The sequence below is a fragment of the Homo sapiens genome, chromosome 7, assembly GCF_000001405.40.
Source record: "Homo sapiens chromosome 7, GRCh38.p14 Primary Assembly".
Lineage (NCBI taxonomy): Eukaryota > Metazoa > Chordata > Mammalia > Primates > Hominidae > Homo > Homo sapiens.
Genome location: NC_000007.14, coordinates 8,023,085 through 8,044,201, shown reverse-complemented (window position 1 = coordinate 8,044,201; position 21,117 = coordinate 8,023,085). Strand labels below are relative to the sequence as shown.

Here is a 21,117-nt window from a genome sequence, read left to right as displayed (position 1 = left end):
AGGCTGACGCAGGTGGATCGCGAGGTCAGGAAATCAAGACTATCCTGGCTAACATGGTGAAACCCTGTCTCTACTAAAAATATAAAAAAATTAGCCAGGCATGGTGGCAGGCGCCTGTAGTCCCAGCTACTCGGGAGGCTGAGGCAGGAGAATGGTGTGAACCCGGGAGGCGGAGCTTGCAGTGAGCGGAGATCGCGCCACTGCACTCCAGCCTGGGTGACAGAGCGAGACTCCATCTCAAAAAAAAAAAAAAAAATTTAGTGCTTCAACAATAGTTTTGATTTTTCATGACTTTCTCACATTATAATTCTTGACATCTATTACAACTATTCTTCCTATTTTCATGTTCGGTCTTCACCCATGTACTCTCATTTTTATAGCCTGTTATACAGAATTTAGTATCTTCATGAAATATCATGAAAATCACATTAGTCTTTTATACCTATTCCCTTTTTTCAGTTTTATTGAAGTATAATTTACATTCCATTAACTTCATCCATTTTAATAGTAAAATTCATAAGGTTTTAATCAATTTGCAGATTTATACAACAAGAATCACAATCCAATTTTAGGACTTTTTCATCACCCCCCAAATTTCCCTTCATTCTATTTATTGTCAATCATCAGTTTTCTGGTCACAGGCAACCATAATAGGCATTTTTTCCTTTCTATAGATTTGCCTTTTCTGCAATTTTGATAAAACTATAATCATATAACATGTAGTCTTACTCATCTGACTTTACTTAGCAAGGATTGGCAAGCTATGTTCTGCTGGCCATATCTAGCCTGTCATATGTTTTTGCAAATAAACTTTTACTGGAACATAGTCAAACCTACTCTATACTGCCTATGGCTGCTTTTTTTTTTTTTACCACAGCATTGTTGAATGAAGGCATACTTTTAAGATATTGCAGGTTTGATTCCAGACCACCACAAGAAATAAAAAATATAGCAATGAAGTGAGTCACATGAACTTTTTGGTTTCCCAGTGCAAATAAAAGTTATGTTTATATTATACTGTAGTCTAGTAAGTGTGCAATAGTAGTGTCTAAAAACAATATACATACCTTAATTTTAAAATACTTTATTGCTAAAAAATGCTAATGATCATCTGAGTCTTCAGCAAGTTACAATCTTTTTTATGGTGAAGCTCTTGTCTCGTAGATGTTAGCTGACTGATCAGGATGGCGGTTGCTGAAGGCAGAGGCAGTTGTGGTAATTTCTTAAAATAACAGTGAAGTTTGCCAAATTGACTGACTTTTCCTTTCATACCAGATTTCTTTGTAGCATGTGATGCTGTTTGATAGCATTTTACTCGCAGGACTTCTTTTAAAATTGGAGTCAATCCTCTCAAACCCTGCCACTCTTTATCAACTAGGTTTATGTAATATTCTAAATCTTTTGTTATCATTTCAACAATGTTCACAGCTTCTTCATCAGGAGTACATTCCTACTTAAGAAACCACTTACTTTGCTCATCCGTAAGAAGCAATTCCTCATTCATGCAAATTTGATCACCAGATTGCAGCAAATCAGTCACATCTTCAGGTTCCACTTCTATTTTTCAAAGAGACAGGGTCTTGCTATGTTGCCCTGGTCTCAAACTCCTGGGCTTAAGTGATCTCAGCCTCAAAGTGTTGGGATTATAGGCATGAGCCACTGCACCCAGCCCATGTTCCACTTCTAATTCTAGTTCTCTTGCTATTTCCACCACATCTGCAGTGACTTCCTCCACTCTAGTCTTGAACCCCTCAAAGTCATCCATTAAGGGTGGAATCAAGTTCTTCCAAGCTCCTGTTAATGATATTTTGAAATCCTCCAATGAATCACAAATGTTCTTAATGGCATCTAGAATGGTGAATCCTTTCCAGAAGGTTTTCAATTTACTCTGCCCAGATTCATCAAAGGAATCATTATCTATGGTACCTGTAAGCCTTACAAAATGTACTTCTTAAATAATAAGAATTGAAGATTGAAATTACTCCTTGATTCACGGACTGCAGAATGGATGTTGTGTTAGCAGGCATGAAAACATTAATTTTTTTTATATCCCCATCGGAGCTTTTGGGTGACCAGGCAAATTGTCAATAAGCAGTAATATTTTGAAAAGAATCTTTTCCTTTTTTGAGCAGTATGTCCCCATAGTGGGCTTAAAATATTCAGTAAACCATGTTGTAAATAGATGTGCTATATCATCCAGGCTTTGTTCTTCCACTTTATAAAGTACAAGCACAATAGACATAGCATAATTTTTAAGATCCCCAGGATTTTCAGAATGGCAAATGAGCACTGGCTTAAATCATCAGCTGCAGCTGCGTGTGGTGGCTCATACTTGTGATTCCAGCACTTTGGGAGGCTGAGGCGGGAGGACTGCTTGAGCCCAGGAGTTCGAGACCAGTCTGGGCAACATAATGAGACCTTGTCTCTACAAAAATAAAAAACAATTAGCTGGGTGTGGTGGTGTATGCCTGTAGTACCAGCTACTTGGGATACTCAGGTAGGAAGACTGCTTGAGCCCAGCTGCAGCTGCAGTGAGCTACGATCATGCCACTGTACTCCAGCCTGGGTGACAGAGCAAGACCTTGTCTCGAAAAAAAGAAAAAAAGCAAGCTCCTAACAAGAGAGTCAGCCTGTCCTTTAAAGCTTTGAAGCCAGGCATCATCAACTTCTCTCCAGCTATGAAAGTCCTAGACAACATCTTATTCCACAGTACAGCTGTTTTGTCTATAATGAAAACCTGTTAGTGTAGCCACTTTCATCAATGATCTCAGCTAGGTATTCCAGTTCACTTGCTGCAGTTTCTACATCACCACTTAGTACTTCTTCACCTTGCACTTTATAGATATGGCTTCTTTCCTTAAACCTCAGAACCAATGTCTGCTGGCTTCAAACTTTACTTCTGCAGCTTCCTCTTCTCTCTCAGCTGTCACAGAATTGAAGAGAATTAGGGCCCTTCTCTGATTAAGCTTTGGCTTAAGGGAATGTTGTGGCTGGTTTGATCTTTTATCTAGTCCACTCAAATTTTCTCCGTGTCAGCAATAATGCTGTTTTGCTTTGTTATCATTCTTGTGTTTGTTTGAGTAGAATTTTTATTTCCTTCAAGACCTTTCCCTTTGCATCCACAGCTTGGTTATTTGGGTGCAAGAGACCTAGTTTTTGGTCTGTACTGGCTTTTTACTTGCCTTCCTCACTAAGCTTAATCATTCCTAGCTTTTGACTGAATGTGAGAGAGGTATGACTCTCTCATTCATTTGAACACTTAAGAGGTCACTGTAGGAGTATTAGTTGGCCTATTTCACTATTATTGTGTCTCAGGAAATAAGGAAGCCCAAGGAGAGGAAAATGATAGTTGATGAAGCAAAGCACATGCATACATTTACGGATTAAGTTTGAATGATGCTGCGATAAACATTTGTGTATAAGTCTCAATGTAGACATGTGTTTTCATTTTTCTTGTACAGACTTTTAAGAATGAAATTGTTGGGTTGTATGCTAAATTTCTGTTTACCTTTTTGAGAAACTAGCAAAGTGTTTTCCAAAGTGGATGTACCACTTTATATTCCTAAAAATGTCTGAGAGTTCCAGGTCCTCCAAATCCTAACCAATGCTTGCAATTAATCCGTCTTTTAAATAGTCATTGGTGTGTGTGTGTGTGTGTGTGTGTGTGTGTGTGTGTTAATTATATCTCACTATGGTTTTTAAGTTTTTTTTTGAGTCAGGGTCTTGCTCTGCCACCCAGGCTGGAGTGCAGTGGCATGATCATAGATAGTCCACTGCAGTCTCAAACTCCTGGACTTAAGCAATCCACCTGTCTCAACATCCTGAGTAACTCGGACCACAGGCACACACCACCATGCCCAGCTAACTTCTGTATTTTTTGTAGAGATGAACTCTTACTATGTTGCTCAGGCTGGTCTTGAACTCATGAGCTCAAAAGATCCTTCCATCTCAGCCTCCCTAAGTGCTGGGATTATAGTTGTGGGCCATCACACCTCCCTCATTGTGGTTTTAATTTTCATTTCCCTAATGACTAATGAATGATGTTGAACACCTTTTCATGTGGTCATCTGCCATTCATACATTCTCTTTGATGAAATACTTTTTTATTATTTATTTTTATATAGATTTAGGGGGTAAAGTGCAGTTCTGTTACATGGATATATTGTGTAGGGAAGCCTGGGCTTCTTCTTTTTTTTTTTTTTTTTGAGACAGAGTCTTGCTCTGTCACCCGGGCTGGAGTGCAGTGGCATGATCTCGGCTCACTGCAACCTCTGCCTCCTGGGTGCAAGTGGTTCTCCTGCCTCAACCGCCCAAGTAACTGGGATTACAGGAGCCCGCTACCATGCCAAGCTAATTTTTGTATTTTTAGTAGAGACGGGGTTTCACCACGTTGGCCAGGCTGGTCTCAAACCTCTGACCTCAAGTGATCCACCCCGCGTGGCCTCCCAAAGTGCTGGAATTACAGGCGTGGGCCACTGCGCCCGGCTGAAGTCTGGGCTTTTAGTGGAACCATCACCTAAATATTGTAACCATTAGGTAATTTTTCATCCCTCACCCCACTCCAACCCTTCCAAGTCTCCAATGTCTATTATTCTACTCTCTATGTCCATGTATACATATTTTTAAGCTCCCACTTATGAGTAAGAATATGTAATATTTGACTGCTTCTGAGTTATTTCATTTAAGATAATGCCCTCCAGTTCTATCCATGTTGCTACAAAAGACATGATTTCATTCTTCTTTATGAATTAATAGTATTCCGTGGTGTGTGTATATACATATATATACACACACACAGACACACATTTTCTTTATCTGATCAGCCATTGACACTTAATTCCTTATCTTTGCTACCGTGAACTTAATTCCTTATCTTTGCTACCGTGAATAGTGTTGTAATAAACATGTGAGTGGAGGTGTCTCCGATATAATTTCCTTTCTTTTGGGTAGATACCCAGTAGTAGGACTACTGGATTAAATGGCAGTTCTATTTTTAGTTCTGTGAGAAATCTCCATATTTTTGCATAGAGGTTGTAGTAATTTACATTCTCACTAATGGTGTATAAGCATTCCCTTTTCCTCACCAACAACTATTTTTTTTTGACTTTTTAATAGTCATTCTGACTGGTATAAGGTGCTATCTCATTTTGATTTTATTTTGCATTTCTCTGATAATTAGTGATACTGAGCATTTTTCATCTCCTTGTTGGCTATATGCATGTTTTCTTTTGAAAAATGTTTGTTCATGTCCTTTATCCACTTTTTAACAGGGTTACGTATTTTTTTTCTTGTTGCATTGTTTGACTTCCTTGTAGATTCTGTGCATTAGTCCTTTGTCAGATATATAGTTTGCAAATATTTTCTTGCATTCTGTAGGTAGTCTATTTTCTCTGTTATTTATTTTGCTACATAGAGGCTTTTTAGTTTAATTAACTCCCATGTGCCTATTTTTGTTGCATTTGCTTTTGAGATCTTACTCATAAATTTTTTGCTTAGGCCAATGTTCAAGTTTGTCCTAGGTTTTCTAGGTTTGTCCTAGGTTTCCTCCAAAATGTTTATAGGTTCAGGTCTTACATTTAAGTCTCTAATCCATCTTGAGTTAATTTTTGTATATGATAAGAGATATAGGTTCAGTTTCATTCTTCTACATATGGCTACACAATTTTCCCAGGACCATTTATTCAAAAGAGTGTACTTTCCCCAGCATATGTTTTGTCAACTTTGTCAAAAATCAGTTGACTTTATTTCTGGGTTCTCTATTTTGTTCCACTGATTTATGTTTTTGCTATCCTACCAGTAGCATTCTGTTTTGGGTACAATAGCCTTGTAGTATAATTTGAAGGCAGGTAATGTGATGCAATAAACTTTTCTTCTTTTTTTGCTTAAGACTGCTTTCACCATTTGGGCTTTTTTCAATATGAATTTTCAGATTATTTTTTCTAATTCCATGAAAAATGACCTTGGTATTTTGATAGGAATTATACTGAATATGTAGGTGGCAATTTTAACCATATTAATTTAAGCTCTTACAATCCAAGAGCTTAGAATGTTTGTCCATTTGCTTTTGTCATCAGTGACTTCATTGGTGTTCTGTTCCATGCACTAATGAGAAGAATGTATATTCTATGGCTGCTGTGAATATTCTGTAAATTTCTACCAGGTCCATTTGATCTAGAGTCCAATTTAAGTCCAGTGTTTCTTTGCTGACTTTCTGTCTTGATGACCCATTTAGTGCTGTCAGTGGGGGGCTGAAGTCCCCTATCCACTATTATTGTATTACTATCTGTTTTCTTAAGTATAGCAGTATCTGCTTTATGAATCTGGGTGGCCTAGTATTGGGTGCATATATATTTAGAATTGCTATATCTTCTTGTTGAATTGATCCCTTTATCATTATATAATGACCTTATCTTTTTTTCCCTGTTGATTTAAAATCTGTTTTATCTGATGTAAGTATGACTACTCCTGCTCACGTTTTCTTTCCATTTGCAAGGAATGTCTTTTTCCACCCCTTTACCTTGAGTCTTTACGTGTCTTTAGCAGTTAGGTGGATTTCTTGTAAGCAAGATATGATTAGATCCTGCTTTTTAATCAATTCTGCCAAGCTGTATCTTTTAAGTGGAGCATTTAACCCATTTATGTTCAGAATTAATATTGGTATGTGAGGTTTTGTTCCTATCATAATGTTAACTTACCTAGTTGCTTTGTAGTCTCAGTTGTGGAACTGTTTTATAAGATCTGTGAGTTTTATCCTTTCATGTGTTTTTATGATGGTGAGTGTCAACCTTTCATTTCCATGTTTAGAAATCCCTTGAGCATTTCTTGTAGGACCAGTCTAGTGGTGATGAATTCCTTTGGCATTCACGTGTCTGGGAAATACTATTTCCCCTTCACTTACCGAGCTGAGTTTACCAGCATACAAAATTCGTGGCTGACAGTTTTCTTTTTCTTTTAAGAAGTCTGAAATTAGGCACCCAACCTCTTCTGGCTTATAGAGTTTCTGCTGAGCATTCTGCTGTAAGTCTGTTGGGGTTTCCTTTACAGGAGATTAGATGCTTTTCTCTTGCTGATTTTAGGATTCCTTTCCTTCACACTGACTTTGTCTGAAGACTATTTTGGTCGAGTCATCTTGCAATATATCTTTTGGATTTCCTTGAGCCTCTTCTATTTCAACATCTAAATCTCTAGTAAGATGAGAGAATTATTCCTCAATTATCTCCTCACATAGGTTTTCCAAACTTTTTTCTTTTTCTTCTCCCTCAGGAAGAAACCTTCTCCCTATGACAAGGTTTGGAGGTTTTACATAATCTCATACTTCTCAAAGGCTTTATTTTTCAAAATTCTGTTTTCTTTTTCTAGCTGGATTAACTTGCAGGACCTGTCTTCATGCTCTGACATTCTTTCTTCTCATTGGTTTAGTCTACTTGTTAAAACTTTCAACTCTATTTTGTAATTCATTCAATGAATTTTTCATTTCTAAAAGTTCTGGTGGATTTAAAAAAGTATCTCCTAATAAACTGTTCATTTATATCTTAAATTGTTTTTCTGATTTCTTTGTATTGTTTTTGAACTTTCTCTTGGGTATCATTGAACTTTAGTATCAATATTCTGAATTCTTTATCTGGTATTTAAAAGATTTCATTTTCATTAGGATCTATTGCTGGAGAGTTAGTATGATCCTTTGGAGGTGTTGTAATACTCTGTTTTTTCATACTTCCAGAATTGTCTCTCTAGTTCCTTCTCATCTGGATAAACTCTCTCTTCTTATTTTTGAATTTACTTTTGTTTGGACATGATTTTTTTTCCATCTTAAGGATGAGACTATAATATATGTTGTGTATGGCCTTTTGGCTTTTATTCTGGGTGCTTTCCACTGAAAGCAAAGTTTCTATGAGTTACTTGGTTTCAGACATGCTTTGTGTGATGGCTTCTCAAATACTAGTTGTAGAAGTGATGTACTGGGCATGTGAACAAACTCACTGCCTCTTGGGCCAGGATGGTGGAGGTCTCAGGAAGTTTATCTCATTCCCCAGAACTGTGCACTTGTGTTAGCAGATTTTGTATTGGGTTGTGCAATTTAACCTACAGACCAATAGGTGGTGCTTATGTGTAAAGGCCAGCTACAGCAGAAGCAGATGGGTATATGCTTGATCTTTGTTTACTGGAAGGATCTCTCTGTTGCTTCAAATTGGCCAGACTGTGTAATGCACAGTAGCCTGAGATCTCTGCTCAGCCCCTGATGGGGACAAAGCTGGGTAGAGCTAAACCACCAAGCCTGCTCTTCAATACTCCAATGGTGGACACAATCACTAGCCCTGAAGCGGGTGGTGAGAGGAGCTCCTGGTAGAATGTGACAAGCTCTCTATGTGGGGGAGGGAACTGCCTCAGCTCCATACCTAGGCAGGCAGGAACATGATTTGCTTCCCTGTCACACCCCTGTTAGGCACTTGGGACACTCTGACGGGACAGACAACACTGTCTATATCCACACTGCAGTGTAGCCAAGAGCTGTGAAATCTGCCCATCTCACAGCTTACTGCCAAACTATCTTTGGTGTAGAACCTGTCTTCAGCCTAAAACATACATCTTTGTGGTTCTCCTGATTTCTGTTGCAGGAACATAACAACTCCACATATAAGGGGGAGGTGCCCCACCTTTCACACAAGCCTGGGCCCAGCTTGAATAAATTCTTATTTTTTAGATTATCAGTGCGGACACAGCCATACCTAATTGCCCTAGAATGGCTGTCTTGTGATACGCCTGTACCAACCTCCCATAGGAGCAGCCATGGCTGTGTTCGCAGCAGTGGACAAGCTGCAGAGGAGAGATATCCCTTCTCCACATCTGTGCTTAAGCACTGAGGCCACCTGGCTGCTGGGATGGAACCCTGTTCCTCCCTTGAAGAGCCAAGCACAGTGCCCACATCTGCACTGGAAGTAGCAGTCACTCTCAGCCAAGTGGGGAGTTCTCGGGCAAAGGACAGCACACACTTTTGTGCACTGCACTTTCCCTTCCCTTAGGAGCAGCACTCCCTGAGGGAGAGACCACTGAGAATCCTGCAGCTCCCCTGGGTCCAGCCAGCACTATGTGGCTGCTACAATCTGAGTGAGTGCCAGGGAATGTCTGTATGGGATCCAGTGATGTCGAGACACAAGGGCAGGACCTGAGGTTCCTTGGGCAGGACTCAGTCCTTCAACAGGCATGTCCCAAATATATTGGGCCTGCCATCACAGCTCGGGTCCACAGGGAGGGTAAGCAACCCAGCATGAGCTGGTAGTCTGGTGTAATGCCCTCAGTAAGTCCCCAAATCACCACCCACACCAGTGTTTGGGTTCATAAGGGCAGAGGAACTCTTGAATACCAGCAGTTTGCTGCGAGGGGAAGGGGAGCCCAAAACACTTCCACCTATCCTTTCAACAAAATAGCAAGTCCCTTGGGCTTCCTAGCTAATCTCTGCCAGCCTCTTTTTCCTTCTTTTTCTGTGTCCTAGCTTCTTCCTGTGAGTTCTCCACTGGACTCCAGCACTCTCCCCTTGATATTCTATTCAAGTTATGATTATTCACCTGTAACTATGGTTCTTCTTTCTGAGAAGTGGTGTCTGATGTCTCTTGTCAGCCATCCTCTTCTCTGATGAAATACTTCAAGTGTCTTACCAATTTTTAAAGTAGATTATTTATCTTCTTATTGATTTGTAAGAATTCTTTATATATTCTACATAGAAGCCCTTTATCAAATACATGATTTGCTAATATTTCTTCAAGTCTGTGGCTTGTCTTTTTATTCTCTTAGTGGTGTATTTTGAAGTATAAGTGTTAATTTTATTGAAGATCCAATTATCTTTTTTTCTTTTAGGGCTTTTACTCTTGAGATTGTATCTAAGAATGTCTAATTAATATATTCTAGAAGTTTTAGAATTTTAGAGGTTACATTTAGGATTATGATTCACTGAAAGCTGATTTTTCTCTATGGTGAGAGCTAGGACTTAAGGGTATTTTGTACATACAAATATTCAATTATTATAGCACCAATTGTTGAAAAGACTGTCTTTTTCAATTAAATTGTGTTGGCTTCTTTGGCTAAAATAAACTGACCACAAATATAAGGGTTTATTTCTAGATTCACAAATTTTGTTCCATTTACCTATAAATCTTTATGTGTGCCAATACTATACTAACTATATTAATGTAGGTTCACAGGAAACATTGAAATAGTGTAATATAATTCTACCAAATTTTTCGTTTTCAAGATTATTCGGACTTTTCTAGATCCTTTGTATTTCCATACACACTTTAGGATTAGCTTGTCAATTCCTAGTAAAAAACAAACCAAAAAACAAAAGCCCTGGTATTTTCATAGAAATTGCATTGAATCTATATATCAATTTGAGAATTACCATCTTACTATTGATTCTTCCAATCCATGAACAAGTTAAGTCTTTCCATTTATTTAATTTCCATTATTTAAATCCTTATAAATTTCATCCAGTAATATTTTCAGTGTATAAATTCTGGAGTGGTCTCTTAAATTATTTCTAAACACTTTAATCTTTTTTGATGCAACTGTGAATAAATTGTTTTCTTATTTTTTAATTATTCATAGCTACTACCCAGAAATATAATTGATCTCTGTATGTTGATCTCATATCATGTAACCTTGGTAAACTTATTAGTTATAATAATATATTTGTACATTCCATAGGAGTTTTTACATATAGGATTATGTCTTCGGTGAATAAAGGAAGTTGCACTGCTTCCTTTACAATCCGAATGTCTTTTTGTTTTCTTGCCTGACTGCACTGGCTAGAATCTCCTGTACAGTAATGAATAAAAGTGGTGACAAGATGACAGTGGACATCCTTGCCTTGTTCCTTAGGAGAAAAGCATTCTGTTTTATCATTTAATATGAGTAATCTGTAGGTTTTTCATAAATGCAGTTTATCAGATGAAGAAAGTTTTCTTCTGTTCCCAGTTTGTTGATTTTTTTTTTTAATCATGAATGACTGTTGAATATTGTCAAATGTTTCATCTGACTCTACTTAGGTGATTATGTAATTTATGTCCTTTATTCTATTAATATAATTCATGCCATTAACTAATTTTCTGATGTTAAACCATCATTGCATTCCTTGGACAAATCCCACTTACTCAGGGTATATAATCCCTCTTATTTATTGCTGGATTTGGTTTGCTCATATTTTATTAATAATTTTATATTTATATTCAAGATGGATATTCATCTTGTTTTATTTTCTTGAGATGTCTTTGCCTGACTTTGAAAGGACAGTACTTATGACCTGAAAAAATAAATTGGAGAGTGTTCCCTCCTTTTCTATTTTTTAGAAGAAGAGTTTGTAAATAATTAACATTACTTTTTCCTTAAATATTTGATCGAATTCATCAAATGTGACCCCGGGATAGTCTCTGTGGGAAGAATTTAAATTATTTATTCAGCTTCTTTACTTTTTATAAGTTTCTTCACATTTTCTATTTGTTCCTAAGTCAGCTTTGGCACTTTATACCTTTCTACTAATTTGTGTCTTTTAGGAATTTGTCCATTTCATCTCAGTTTTCTACGTTGATGGCATAAAGTTGTTCATAATATTGTTTCATAATATTTTTTAAGTTTGTACAGTTGGTAGTAATGTCACCTCTTTCACTTCTGAAGTTGGTAATTTGGGTCTGCTTTTTTTCTAGTCAGTGTAGCTAAATGTTTTTCAACTTTAGTGATCTCTGCAAACTTTTAGTTACACTGATTTTTCTCTAGTACTTTTCTGTTTCATTGGTTTTGCTTATTCTTTATTTTCTCATTCCTTTGCTTGTTTTTGCTCTGATTTGCTTTTCTTTTTCCAGTTTCTTAAGATGGAAACTTATGTAATTAATGAGAAGTTTTTCTCTGTTTCTGATATGTGGATTTAAAAGTATAAATTTTCCTTGAAGCACTGCTTTAGCTGCATACATAAATTCTAAGTTGAGTTTTCATTTTCACTCAATTGAAAATATTAAAAAATATCCTTGGGTTATTAGAAAAGTGTTCCTTAATTGTCAAATATTTGGGATTTTCTAAGATTTCTTTCTGCTATTCTGCAGTGACTGGGTGTTTTCCATCTATGCATGTCAGTTAGGTCAAGTTGATTGATAATATTGTTAAAGTCTTCTATCACCTTGCTGATTCTCTAATTGGTTTCTCAATAATGGGATGCTGAAATCTCTAATTACTGTCATATAATTATAATTTCTCATTTTACATTTTTTGCTTAATGTATTTTTGAAATGCAGATGTTAGATGCATATATCCTTATGATTGTTTTAAGTTCCTTTTGCACTAACCTTTTTATTATTATGAAACTTTCCTATTTCTCTTCAGTTATCTTTATTGTATTAAAGTCTACATTGCCTGATATTAACATATCTATTCCAGCTCTCTTATTGTTACTGTTTTATCTTTTCCCATCTTTTTGCTTTCAGTCTGTTTGTTTTTTTAAAAATATTTATTTAAAAAAATTTTTTAATTATTGTGGGTACATAGTAGGTATATGTATTTATGGGACACATGAGATATTTTGGCACAGGCATGCAATGCATAATAATCACATGAGAGTAAACTGGGTATCTATCCCCTAGAGCATTTATTCTTTATGTTACTAACAACCCAATTATACCCTTTTAGTACTTTTAAACGAATAATGAATTATTACTGACTATAGTCCCACTGTTGTACTATCAAATACTAGGTCTTACTCATTCTTTCCAACTTTTTCCCCCATTAACCATTCCCACCTCCCCATGGCTCCCCACCCAACACTTTCCAGCCTGTAAGTAACCATCCTTCTATCCTCTAGTTCCACGAGTTCTATTGTTTTGATTTTTATATCCCACAAATGACTGAGAACATGCAATGTTTGTCTTTCTGTGCCTGGCTTATTTCACTTAACGTAATGACATCCATGTTGTTGGATGGAACTGGACGTCATTATGATAGGATCTCATTCTTTTCGTGGCTGAATAGTACTGCTTTGTCTATAAGTACCACATTTTCTTTATCCATTCATCTGTTGACGGACACTTAGGCTGCTTCCAAATCTTGGCTATTGTGAACACTGCTGCAACAAACATAGGAGTGCAGATATCTCTTCAATATCCTGATTTTCTTTCCTTTGGGTATATACCCAGCAGTAGGATTGCTGGATCATATGGTAGCTCTATTTTCAAGATTTTAAAGAAACCTCCAAACTGTTCTCCATAGTGGTTGTACTAATTTACATCCCCATCAACAGTGTACAGAGGGTTCCCATTTCTCCACATTCTCAATAGCATCTGTTATTGCCTGACTTTTGGATAAAAGTCATCTTAACTGGGGTGAGATGATACCTCATTGCAGTTTTGATCTGCATTTCTCTAATAATCAATGATGCTGAGCACCTTTTCGTATGCCTGTTTTCCACGTCTATGTCTTCTTTTGAGAAATGTCTAATCAAATATTTTGCCCATTTTAAAAATCATACTATTAGGTTTATTAATATGGAGTTCTTTGAGCTCCTTATATATTCTGTTTGTTAATCCCTTGTTAGGTGGGTAGTTTGCAAATATTTTCTCCCATTCTGTGGGATGTCTCTTCACACTGTTGATTGTTTGCTGTGCAGAAGCTTTCTAACTTGATGTCATCCCATTTTTCCATTTTTGCTTTGATGGCCTGTGCTTGTGTGGTATTAGTCAAGAAATGTTTGCCCTGACCAATGTCCTGGAGAATTTCCCCAATGGTTTCTTGTAGTAGTTTCATAGTTTGAGGTCTCAGATTTAAGTCTTTAATCCATCTTGATTTTATTTTTGTATAAGGTGAAAAAAAGGAGTCAGGTTTCTTTCTCTGCATAGGCATATCCAGTTTCCCCAGCACCATGGATTGAAGTCTTTTTCCCAATGTGTGTTCTTAGCACCTTTGTCAAAAATGAGCTCATTTTAGGTGTGTGAATTTGTTTCTGGATTCTCTGTTCTGTTCCATTGGTCTACGGGTCTGTTTTTATGCCAGTGCCATGCTGTTTTGGTTACTATAGCTCTTCAGTAGAATTTAAAGTCAGGTCATGTCATTCCTCCGGTTTTGTTCTTTTCGCTTAGGACAGCTTTGGCTATTCTGGGTCTTTTGTCATTCCATACAAATTTTAGTTTTTTTCATTTCTGTGAAGAATTTCATTGGTATTTTGATAGGAATTGCATTGAATCTAAGATTGCTTTGGGTAGAATAGACATTTTAACAATATTGATTCTTCAAATTAATGAACATGAAGTATCCTTCCATTTTTTGGTGTCCTCTTCAATTTCTTTCATCAGTGTTTCATACTTTTCATTGTAGAGATCTTTCACTTCTTTGAATAATTCCAAGGTATTTAATTTTATTTGTGTCTATTGTAAATGGGATGACTTTTTATTTCTTTTTCTATTGTTCACTTTTAGAATATAGAAACACTACTGATTTTTGTATGTTGACTTTGTGTTCTGCAACTTAACTGAATTTATCAGTTTTAATAGCTTTTTGATGGAGTCTGGGTTTTTCCAGATATAAGATTATATCATCTACAAACAAGGATAATTTGACTTCTTCCTTTCCAATTCAAATACCCTTTATTTCTTTCTCTTTTATGATTACTCCAGCTAAGACTTCCAGTACTATGTTGAATAACACTGGTGAAAGTGAACATCCTTCTTTTCTTTTTCCCTATTCAGCACAATAATAGCTGTGGGATATATAGCTTTTATTATGTTGAGGTATATTCCTTCTACAGCCAGTTTTTTCGAGGGTTTTTGACATGAAGAGATGCTGAACTTTATCAAATGTTTTTTCAGCATCAATTGAAATGATCATATGGCTTTTCTTCATTTTGTTGATATGATGCATCACATTGATTTGAGTTTGTTGAACCATCTTTGCATCCCTGGGATAAATCCCACTTGGACAGGATGAATGATCTTTTTAAAGTATTGCTGAATTTGGTTTGCTAGTTATTTTGTTGAGGATTTTTGCATCCATATTCATCAGATAAATTGCCCTATTGTTTTTACTTTTCTGATGTGTCTTTGTCTGGTTTTGGTAGCAGGGTAATACTAGTCTTGTAGAATGAGTTTGAAAGTATTCCATCTCCCTCCATTTTTTGGAAAAGCTTTAGTAGGATTGGTACTAGGTGTTCTTTAAATGTTTGGTAGAATTCAGCGGTGAAGCCATTGGGTCCCAGGCTTTTCTTTACTGGAAGACTTTTTAGTATGGGTTCAATCTCTACTTGTTATTGGCCCATTTGGGCTTTGGATTTCTTCATGATTCTGTCTTGGTAGGTTATATGTATCTGAGAATTTATTCATTTCTTATAGATATTCCAATTTATTGGCATATAGTTGTTCAAAGTAGCCACTAATGATCTTTTGAATTTCTGTGGTATCGGCTGTAAAGTCTTCTTTTTCACCTCTAATTTATTTGGGTATTCTTTTTTTTTCTTGGTTACCTTGGCTACAGGTTTGTCAATTTTATCTTTTCAAAAAACTAACTTTTAATTTCAGTCATCTTTTGTAGTGTTGTCTTCATTTCAAATCCATTTTATTTCAGCTCTGATCTTTATTATTTCTTTTCTTATACTAATTTTCAGTTTGGTTTGCTCTTGCTTTTGCTGCTTTTTAAGATGCATTGTTAGGTTATTTATTTGAAGTTTTTCTTCTTTTTTGATGTAGGCACTTACAGCTATAAATTTCCCTCTTAGTGCTGCTTTTGCTGTATCCCATAGATTTTGGTATGTTGTGCTTCCATTATCATTTGTTTCAAGAAGTTTTTCAATTTCCTTCTTCATTTCTTCATTGACTCATTGGTCATTTAGGAGCATATTGTTTAACTTCCATGTGCTTGTATGGTTTCCAAAATTCCCCTTGTTATTGATTTGTAGTTTTATTCCACTGTGGTCAGAGAGGATTCCTGATATTATTTCAATTTTTCTGAATGTTTTAAGACATGTTTTGTGACCTAATATGTGGTCTGTCTTTGAGAATGATCCATGTGCTGAGGAGGAAAATTTGTATTCTGAGGCTGTTGGATGAAATGTTCTGTAAATATCTATTAGGTCCATTTGTTCTACAGTGCAGATTAAGCCCAATGTTTCCTTGCTGATTTTCTGTCTAGGAGATCTGTCTAATACTGAAAGTAGGGTGTTGAAGTCTCCAGCTATTATTGTATTGGGGTCTATCTTCCTCTTTAGCTCTAATAATATTTGCTTTATACACCTGGGTGCTCCAGTACATATATACTTACAATCATTACATCCTCTTGTTGAATTGACCCTTTTATCATTATACAATGACCCTGTCTTTTCTTACAGTTTTTGTCTCCAAATCTATTTTGCCTGACATAAGCATAGCAACTCCTGCTCTTTTTTGGTTTCCACTGGCATGGAATATCTTTCCATCCTTTTAGTTTAAGTCTATGTTTATCTTTATAGGTGAAGTGTGTTTCTTGTAGGCAATAGATCATTGGGTCTCTTTTTTTTTTTTCATCCATTCAGCCACTCGTTGTCTTTTGTTTGGAGAGTTTAGTCCATTTACATTCCATTTTATTATGGATAAGTAGGAACTTACTCCTGCCATTTTATTATTTGTTTTCTGGTTTTCTCTTCCTTCCTTCTTTCTACCCTTCTTGTCTTCCTTTTGGTGATTTTTTTGTGGTGGTATGCCTTCTTCCTTTTATTTTTGAGATAGGGTTTCACTCTGTTACCCAGGCAGGAGTACAGTGGTGCGATCTTGGCTCACTGCAACCTCCACCTCCCAGGCTCAAGCGATTCTTGCGCCTCAGCCTCCCCAGTAGCTGGGACTACAGGTGTGTGCCACGACAACCAGCTAATTTTTGTATTTTTAGTAGAGACAGAGTTTCACCATGTTGGCCAGGCTGGTCTCAAACTCCTGACCTCAAGGGATCTGCCCGCCTTGGCTTCCCAAGGTGCTGGGATTACAGGCGTGAGTTTCCTCAACATAGCTACTTTGAATTCTTTGTCTGAAAGGTTATATATCTCTGTTTCTCTAGGATTAGTCCCTGGTGCCTGGTTCATTTGGTGAGGTCATGTTTTCCTGGATGGTGCTAATTATCGTAGATGTTCCTCAGTGTCTGGGCATTGAAGAGTTAGGTATTTATTGTAGTCTTCACAGTCTGGGCTTGTTTGTGCCTGTCCTTCTTGGGAAGGCTTTCCAGGTATTCAAAGAGACTTGGGCCCCAAGCCCAATAACACTGTGTTTTTTTCAGATTTGTAGAGTTATACCTACCATCTTGGAGGTCTTGAAAAAGATCTGGGAGAATTCTCTTGATTACCAGACAAAGACTGTTATTCTTTTCCCTTACTTTCTCCTCAGCAAACAGGGGGTGTCTGTCTGTCTTGTCTGTCTCTCTCTTTAAAGCTTGCCAATAAAAAGTTCTGACTGCTGGAATGGTTGATTCTCCTCTGGCTAAGGTTGGTCCAAACGTTCCCTCCATGCACAGGCACTGGCTGAGGCCAGCATGGCTTTATTCTTCACTGTGATATGGCAGTACTGAGTTCAGTGTAAAGTTCCCCAGTCGCTGTGCTCTTCTTCCCCAAAGTGCACAGATTCTGTGCTCCGCACAACTGCTGCCAGGGAATGGAGGGGTAACATCAGCAATTCAAGACTCTCTCTCCTGGCCTACTCAATGCCTCTTTTGGTGCTATGAACTTAAAACTCGGTACTGTGGTTGCTCACTTGATTTTGGGTTCTTGTGAATGGTGTTTTTCCCTGTGCAGATAGTTGTTAAAATTTAGTACTCCATTGGGGGTGGGAGGGATGAATGCTGTAGGCTTCTATTTTTGTGTCACAACTTTTTTTGTTTACCTATTCTTCCTTTCCTGCTTTGTGATATTTTTTAGTATGCCATTTTAATTCCTCTGGTGTTTGTTTTTTTTCTTTTACATTTTTGGAGTTATCTTCTTAGTAACTTAGCAACTGCTCTAGGGATTATAATGTGTCTTAATTTATCACAATCTATATCACAATAATACTTAATATCAGTCAAATAGAAACTATAATTTATGTCCTTTTCCTAACTCCTTTGTGCTATTATCATATATATATTTCATGTACCTGCTATAAATCCAACCAAACAATGTTGAAAACTCCTTTATATTTACCACATATTTACTATTCCCAGCATTCTTCAATTCTTCCTATGGATACAAACTAATATACAGTGTTACTTCCTTTCAGCCTGAAGATTTGCTTTAATATTTCTTATAAGACAGTCTGACAGGGAGAAATTCTCTCAAGTTTTATCTGGGAATGCCATTTTTTCACCTTCACTTTGGAAGACTAGTTTTGCTGGATATAGAATACCTGGTTGACAGTTTTTTGGTTTTTTTTCTTTCAGCACTTTGAATGCATCAGGCCTTATGGTCCCCATCGCTTCTGATTTTAAAGTCAGCTGTTAAAGTTATTAGTGGTCCCCTACATGTGATGACCCATTTTCTTCTTTTTATGGCTCTCTTTGTGTTTTCCTAGTTGTGGTTAGTTAAGCTTCATGAATCTGTAGATTGTTTTTCATCAAATCTGGAAAGTTCTCTGTTAGTATTTCTTTGATTCTTTTTCTCTGCTCTGTCTCTTTTCTCCTATGAGGCTTTTTCAACTTTAATTTTTTTTTCCTCTCTGTTCTTCAGAGTATATAAATTCTATTGACTTATCTTCTAATTCATTGATTCTTCTGCCATCGCAAATCTGTTGTCAAACCCATCTAACATTTTTATATTTAGTTATTGCCCTTTTTAACTCTAGAATTTTGTTTCCTTCTTTTTTAGAATGACTAACTCTTTGTGAAAATTCTTTTATTATTTTTTATTTTTTTTGGGATGGAGTCTCGCTCTGTCACCCAGGCTGCAGTGCAGTGGCGCGATCTTGGCTCACTGCAAGCTCTGCCTCCCTGGTTTTATTTCCAGTAGCCCACTTGAATTTCATCTGCACCTATTCCTAGGCTCTCCTGGCCAAGAACACATCGGTGGCCTGAGCCCACTCTGTTCTCTGATGTGCATGTCCACAGCCTCCACTCAACCTGGGATATGTGGGGAATTTATCAAACTCCCACTACTGTCTTACCTCTCAAAACTTTCTATTAAACTCAACTAGTTCATGAGCCTACTGCTGGCCCCAAATTGGACTACAGTCTTAGACTAATAAAGCTGTTGGCCCTCTCTGTTTACTTGCCACAAAGATCACTATTTTAACCTACAATTCTCCATAGCAAGTGATTTCTCTGCAAAAGTGGAAGCAAAGCTGCTGGTTTTCATCCTGACTGAAATGCTATGCGACAGAGCTAGGGACAAGGAAAAGGAGAAAAGGAGTAGCACCAGATCACGAATTTGTGCTATTCTTACCCTATGTTCATTAGTTTTCATGAATAAAGCTTCTCAGTTTGTTTGGTAAAGTACTCAAACAGTTGTTTTGACAGTTTTGTCCAGCTTTAATGGTTGCCTTCTGTGGAAAACAATCAAATGTTCTCACTGAATCAGTCATTCCTTTTTAAGAGTGTATGTCATATATTACTGAAATCCAGTTATAGTTAAATTATAAATCCAACACAACAGTATTAAAAACTCTTTCATATTTATCCACATATTTACTATTCCCAGCACTCTTCAATTCTTCCTACGGATTCAAATTAATATCTGGCGTTACTTCCTTTCAGCCTAAATCTCGTTGATAACTCTAAGACTGTATTCAACTCTGAGATAAAAATACAAGTTCACTTTTTTGTTATTCATATGCTATACATAGACATGTAGTTATAGTAAGCCAGAGATATTAGACTTAGCTTCATTTATTTTTTGTTGTTGCTGGAGAAAACTGATTTTTTTTGCATACATGTATGGTAGGCAGAAGGAGCTGAGTAGGTCTCTACATCCATACTATAAAGAAGCTGCTAAAATGTAATACAATCATAAGTAAAATCATGCTAATAAACTATATCTATGCAGTCCAGACACCACAGTATATGAGGGACACTGATAACCTATAGTACATAAAAATTATACAAAGAGGCCTGGAAACTGGTATATGAAAAAAAATTTGAGAGAAATGTAGATGTTTACTCTGGAGGAAAAAAATGACTTACTGCTAGCCTTTAAAAGACTTAGACTTACTCAATATTGATCCAGAGGGCAAAGTCAAAACTAAGTTATCTAATTCTAAGTTCAATACATAAGAGAACAGATTTAAAAACTTGAAACAATTAAACCAATTAAACTGGCTCTTTTTGTAAAGTAGTGAGTTTCCATCACTAAGAATGATCATGGCCTGGTGTGGTGGTTCATGCCTGTAATCTCAGCACTTTGGGAGGCCGAGGTGGGCAGATCGCTTAAGGTCAGGAGTTCGAGACTAGCCTGGCCAATATGGCAAAACCCCATCTCTACTAAAAATACAAAAATTAGCTGGACATGGTGGCACATATCTGTAATCCCAGCTACTCGGGTGGCTGAGGCAGGAGAATCGCTTGAACCTGGGAGGTGGAAGCTGCAGTGAGCCAAGACTGTGCCACTGTCCTCCAGCCTGGGTGACAGAGTGAGATTCCACCTCAAAAAAAAAAAAAAAAAAAAAAAAAAAAGAATAACAGAGATTAGATGACCATCTTTTTAAGGAGTATTTATTTAGGAGATTGGCTGGATGACCTTTCAATTCTAAAGTTTCTGTAATTTGTAAAAAGAAATAGAAAAGAATTTAGATGGATAAAAGTATCAGGAAAAATAATCCAAAATATACATAAAGATATGACACCTCAGGTTATTCATAATAAATAAGGAAACGGGTCATAGAAACTAAGTTTCTGAGAAGCATGGATTACTGTTGGGTTCCAAAGGGCAACAATATGCTGGATATCATTAAAAAGCTATTAGATCACGCCTGTAATTCCAGCACTTTGGGAGGCCAAGGCGGGCGGATCACGAGGTCAGGAGATTGAGACCATCCTGGCTAACACAGTGAAACCGTGTATCTACTAAAAATACAAAAAATTAGCCAGGTGTGGTGGTGGGTGCCTGTACTCCCAGCTACTCGGGAGGCTGAGGCAGGAGAATGGCGTGAACCTGGGAGGTGGAGCTTGCAGTAAGCC

The 21,117-nt window shown here is 37.0% G+C and overlaps 1 protein-coding gene across 1 annotated transcript in view, besides 1 other annotated feature; it reads right to left on the bottom strand.

The window, feature by feature from the left end:
- Window positions 1-21,117, bottom strand: part of GLCCI1 (glucocorticoid induced 1) — a 120,285-nt gene that overhangs the window by 44,879 nt on the left and 54,289 nt on the right. The window lies entirely within an intron of this gene.
- Window positions 2,896-3,096: a silencer, noted in NCBI's record as "peak6363 fragment used in MPRA reporter construct". NCBI's record gives its function as "represses an SCP1 promoter by STARR-seq MPRAs in K562 erythroleukemia cells {active_cell/tissue: K562}" and the evidence as "EXISTENCE:reporter gene assay evidence [ECO:0000049][PMID:32103011]".